Source organism: Homo sapiens, chromosome 1 (assembly GCF_000001405.40).
Source record: "Homo sapiens chromosome 1, GRCh38.p14 Primary Assembly".
Taxonomy (NCBI): domain Eukaryota; kingdom Metazoa; phylum Chordata; class Mammalia; order Primates; family Hominidae; genus Homo; species Homo sapiens.
In genome coordinates, this window is record NC_000001.11 from 246128814 (window position 1) to 246135174 (window position 6361).

Genomic DNA, 6361 nt, shown 5'->3' on the forward strand with positions numbered 1-6361 from the left:
TTGCTTTGAGATGGGGTCTCACTCTGTTGCCCAGGCTGGAGTGCAGTGGTGCGATCACAGCTCACTGCAGCCTCAACTTTCCCCAGCTCAGGTGATCCTCCCACCTCAGCCTCCCAAGTAGCTGGAACTACAAGCACACACCACCACACCCTGCTAATTTTTTTGTATTTTTCGGGGTTTTGCCATGTTACTCAAGCTAGTCTCGAACTCCAGGGCTCCAGCGATCTGCGCACCTCGGCCTCCAAACGTGCTAGGATTACAGGTGTGTGGCCCTCCCCACTGTTGATCCCATTCTTGTTCATTGCGATCCTTCAAAAAATATGCAAGATGGAAGACAAGGTGCAGGCAGGGGACAGATGGGGAATCTTTGTGTCTTCAAAATCTCTCAATTTTGCTATGAAACTAAAACTGCTCTAAAAAAAATTAAGCCTTTAAAAATAATGTCTTAATGCACTTGTATTTCTGAATAGTTCAATTTTGGGGTCATGAAAGCTTTAATAGGTAATTGTTGACTTAACACCTTTACAACAATGAAAGATTTACACCTAAACATTACATGAGGTAAAAGGAAATTTATTCATCAAATACAGTAAAAAAAAAAAAAGTAGAAATTAAGAATAGAGTAAAGCATGGTTGACCTCAGCTTTTTTGTGAGAGTTTCTATTTTCTCATTTGGTGAAACTATCTTTGAGGGACTGACCTTTCGACATTCAGCGCCATTTCCTTTGACTCCTGGCATCTTCTGCTGCATGTTCACTATTCAAAGTAGCCCAAAGGGAACCAAGACAGTCCACAGCTATTGTTTTGCCATTTAATCAAACCTGAATAAAGAGCTTGTACACATAAGGAAAGTAAAAACTCACTAGAGGTTACATGAAAGAGGCTGCCATGGAGAGGACTCGTCTGTTCACGTAACATGAATAATTTCCCCATCGAGTTGAGAAAGTTCTGAACACATTTCTTTCTCTTTTTTTTTAAAGACTGAAAAATGGATATAAGCCCATAGCACTTGTTAGCTAGTCAAGCAAAGAGTGTACTCACTAAATTTGTGCATAGAAACAATCATGATCCCACAGCAAAAAATACTTCCTTACCATGCCCTTCATAGCAGGCATTTTGAAAACTGAAAATTCTGCCAAGTCAAATATATAACTGTAGCTATGTCTACTTCTGTTTAAAGGCAGAGAGAAGAGGAAACTAACAATACTAATTCCATAATTTCAGAATGAGTTGCAAGTACAATATTGGAAAGAATATCCTCAGAAAACAGGTTCCCCAGAGGCAGGTGACCACAGCAAGTCATCAGGAGAAAAACTTATATGTTCAATTTTTCTATCATCATAGAATTCATCCCATCATAAATGGAGGGAACTCTTCACCTTGAGAGGCTACAATTTAGGATGAAAGTTTTAACGTTTAATATGTAGACAAAATTATCACTAAGATCATTTAGGGTTGTCCAACTTTTCATGAAGTTCCCAGGCCTCCATATTTTCAGTGTTATAAACACTTGAGCTCCCATTTATAAGCCCTGAATCCATTTTATGTCTCCCAAAAACCAAAATATTTAAATTAAAATACAGGTAGCTCAGATTGACTGTCTCTCACAGGAAGACCATTTATGCTAAAACATGCTGATTCTTATAGAGTGACTACCCTTTTAAAATTAAAAACTGCATCAGTGAAAGAAAATTACAACCTATATTTATCATTCAAAAAGAAGCTAGAAACCTTAAGTAAAAACAGGGCATTTTTGTTTTCAAAAATCCAATTTTTATTCTCGTTATATAACAAAGAATTTTAATGTCTCCCTAATCACAAAAAGAAAATGCTGTTTGGATTAAAAGCAGTAGTTACATGCCACTCATTGCACTCCAGACAGTTCTGACCTTTTTGTAAGAGACCAATTTTGTATTTCCTTTCTCCTGCCTGAACTATTGCACTGGCTTGAGAGTTGGGCTCCTTCCTTCCAGTCTTGACTCTCTAATCTATATTTCATGCCATGAACAAGAATTATCGTTCTAAATCGTCATAATCATTTCATTCTCCTACTTGGAAACTTTAAACAGCTCTTTACTTAATAGAGAATAACGTCCAAACTTCATACTAGAGCACTGAAGCAACCCCACAATCAAACCTCGTCTTAACACTCCTAGTCCTGTACACTACACACACTCTATGCTCCAAGGACTAGAAGCAGATAAAGTCCTTTCCATGGGCTCAGGAACCTTCCTTGTGTGGCTTCCTCATTCCCTCCACTTGGCTGCTGCTGAAATTTAAAATCAGCACATGTTCTACTTTTCCCATGAAGACATTTCCAGTTCTCACAGTCATAATTACTTATGTCTTCCTTTGCATTCCCAACACACATACATTTTATCTTATCATGATTAGTATTATAGGGGGTTGCCTCCATTGCCCTATTTCCCTCTATTGTGTGAGATCAAAGGTCTTGTCGTGTTTAATTCCAGATTATTATAACAAAACACTGTGTACATGGTGGTGGCTCAGGAAATGTTTGCTAAATGAAAGAATGAATGAATCATGTAAACATCCAATCAGTCAATCAGTAAGAAGGAATAAGGGTGAAATGTTGAGTCAAAGACAGGACTTTGAGTGCCTGCACTTTCACTTAGAAGAACCTTAGGTTCTTATTCATAAGGCTGACCATGCCTGCTCTACCATGATAATAACAAGGAAAGAATATACATTTCCGTTACTTCATAGTCAACCCAAAATGATCTGAGATGTATTATACATTCCCAACACTGTGCGGGGCACATTGAGAGACAGAACATAAATTTCGGCTATAACTCTTACTGATTGTCTTTTGTCTATTGAAATATTCCCCTCCTGACTACACAAATTGTTTCTTTAAAAAGGTGAGTTTGAACCACAATTTTATGATTTATGCAATGATAAAGTCTGACATAAATTTCCGGAGAAGTCTAGAACTGGTTATTAAACAATGATGAACACATATGAAGACAATGACCAATTAAAGACAGAACATTTTCATTAAAATACTTTATATGAAACTAAATATTTTCCCTTTTTTATATGGTTATAAGGCTGAAGGTCAGAAAAAGACTATAATGTTTAAATGAGAAATTCTTGATGTCCTTCTGAGCACAATGAAGAAGCACAGGGGAATGATATCAGTTATGTTTGCAACACACCCAAACAGTATAGACTGAAAAATGAATGTTGAAATTCAATTTTTAGCACTATCTCTAATGGGCTGTTATTAAGTCCTGGAATTGGGACAATTCTACTAAACATGCCCATCGGCGACTTGGCTGAGATCATAAAAGGCATGCTTACCAAATTTAGAGATGACAAAAAATTGGGAGAAGTAGTGTATATATTAAATTTATATATTTAAAAAAGCTTTACAAGAAACTCATCAGATTGGAAGACGGGCCTAAACAAACAAGATTACATTCATCCAGATTAAATTCCAGGTTCTGAATTTATGTTTTTAAAAAATTAATTGGGTTATGAAAAAAACAATCCATGTACATGGATTAGAAAACTATATGGTCAAATAATCTTTAACAAGAGTGCTAAGACCATTCAATGGAGGAAAGGACAGTCTTTTTGACAAATGCTCTTGTTAAAACTGTTTATCTACATGCAAAAGAATGAAGTTGGATGCTTACGTTACACCATATACAAAAATTAAAGCACCTAAACAAAAGACCTAAAACTATAAAACTCTCAGGAGAAACATAAAGGAAGTCTTCATGGCATTGGCTTGAGCAATGATTACTCAGGTATGATACAAAACACAGGCAACAAAAGTAAAAGTAGAAAAAGTGGGCTACATCAAAATTAAAACTGCTATGTATCAAAGAACACAATCAACATTGTGAAAAAGCAATCCATAGAATGGGAGAAAATACTTGCAAATCATTTATCTGGTCAGGGTATAATATCCAGAATATATGGATAACTCCAAAACTCAACAACAAAAAAGGAAAAACCCAATTTTTAAAATGGGGAAAGGACTCAAACAGATATTTCTCCAAAGAAGAATTACAAATTGCCAACAATCACATGAAATGATGTTCACCATCATTAGTCATTAGGGAAATGCATATTGAAGCCATAATGAGGTTGCCACTTCACATTCACTAGGATGGCTACTATCAAATAAACAGAAAAGAAGAAATGGCGGCAAGGATGCAGAGAAACTGAAACCCTTGGGTACTGCTGGTGGAAATATGAAAGGTGCTATAATAAAAACTACAAAAAACAGTATGGCATTTCTTAAAAAAACATAAAAATAATTACCATATTATCCAGCAATCCCATTTATGGGTATGCATCCAAAAGAACTGAATAGTATCTAGTATAGTATCTAGAATATATAAAGAACTCTCAAAACTCAAGTTTGAACAACTGAACATTTGATTGAATAACTTTCCCAAAGCTTGTCATTTAAATGAACCCACGGCATGACTGAGGGAAAAGCAGAACATCATAAGATTCCACTCCCAGGCTCGTGAAGTTACTGAAAACATCTATTGGTCCAATTCCCACCAAGTTGGGAAAGGATGAGAATGTTTCCCATAACAAATCTCCACACTTTACTCAATGAAAAACCTGAAAAAGTAAATAAATAAATACTTCTAAAGACCTGAGTGTTGTTAAACTTATTATCTAATGATAGTATCTCATTGTTCCTTCAGTTTTTAATATAGTTTTCCTTAGTTAAGAATGTACAGGAAAAGAAGGGCCAAAGGGGCCTGTTGCACTGCTTACCTCACCAGCAACTATCTTCTTGATATATGTCATCACGATTGGCTGATACTAACGGAAGCAGGGGTGTGGCTTTATTAAAGTGCATCAGGAGAAACATCTTCTTAAGGAAATGCCAGCTTTTATATTATTTTATAAGAAGAAGGAGAAAGAGGGAGAACACATGTGCAAGCGAGCTGAATGCACACACGCTCAATGAACTCAACTACTGTCAAAAAAAAGCTTGAAAACATTTCACTATTTTATAATAGCCACAGCTGAGCCAGCAAATGACACTGTTGTAGCTACTATTTATATAATTAAAATTATACCCTAACATTTCATTTTAGAACTCCATATTAAACCACTTCCATCTTTAAGCTAAAAGCACTTCAAAAGAAATGTATTCTTGTTATGGTCAACTAATTAAAAGTGCATTGTATCTGGACCAGAAGAACCTATTTCCATGCACAGGCTAAAGACAGCCCGGGGAAATGACTAGTGAACCTTCAGATAAGATGACATTTTAATTTTCCTTTATATATCACATCGCCTACACCTAGCTTCATAAGCATGTCAGCTCACTTTGTCACCTGCTGTATTACATTAAGAAAATGTTTTTATTTTCCCACCTTTTCTTCTAGAAGTGGCCTATGACTGACATTTCAGGAGGAATAGCCTTACTTGGAAATATTCTCTTTTATAAATAGTACTCCCAAAGTCTATTCCAACCTAAGCTCCACTTCAACATAATTTAAAATGCAGCTTTCTATATAAGGCATTTTATATATGTTTATTAAATGCCTTATAATAAACACTTATGTATTCAATTCAGCTAGATCATGTATATGATTCATAAGTAATCTAGATAATTTATAAATTTTATACACTAAATTTAAATTATATACCCATGATTTTCATCACATAAATTAACACATACTATTTATATGCCCCTAGCAGAATATGCTTCAGAATCCATGAATCCATTGAAATAATATGCAAATTTTATATCTGTACATACATGTGCTTAGCTTTCCACAGTTTCTCAAAAGAATCTGTGAATCAAAAGAAGTTAAGAACCACTAGTCTATTCCCAAATGTCCATCATATTATTTAAATATAAGCAGCATCTCTGAACAGGAGACATAAGACCCTCTGACTTTTAGAGGGTTAAATAACCATGCAGCTTTCCATTTGCATCTACACCTATATGCAACTGAAATTGATTGACCACATTTTCTTCCCCCCCCTGCCGCTTTTAATGACTCATTTTTAATTTCCACTTCAATGCTAAATAATATCTATTTTTAAAGTGTGCTTGTTTGCATATCACACCAAACTAAAATTACATCCCCAAGAAAATGTTCCCAGTCAAGCTAAAAAAAAAAAAAAAACTTAGCATATATGCTGAAGAGGCTGCTGTTTGGTACCTTGGTTAGTGCTGAAGTAGGCAGGAAGAGCTGGAAATGCAAAACAGCTTCTCTGACTTAGAATTACATCAATATTACAGTTCAGGAAAATCACATTATTTAAAACTATAACATGCTCATAAAAATTCAAAAACTGGCTCTTTTTCTGTTACAATATGCTGAAGAGCTACAGTGATTCAGTCATCTAC

The 6361-nt window shown here is 35.3% G+C and overlaps 1 protein-coding gene across 13 annotated transcripts in view; it reads right to left on the minus strand.

The window, feature by feature from the left end:
* Positions 1–6361, minus strand: part of SMYD3 (SET and MYND domain containing 3) — a 757933-nt gene that overhangs the window by 379467 nt on the left and 372105 nt on the right. The gene's annotated exons all lie outside the window — the stretch shown is intronic.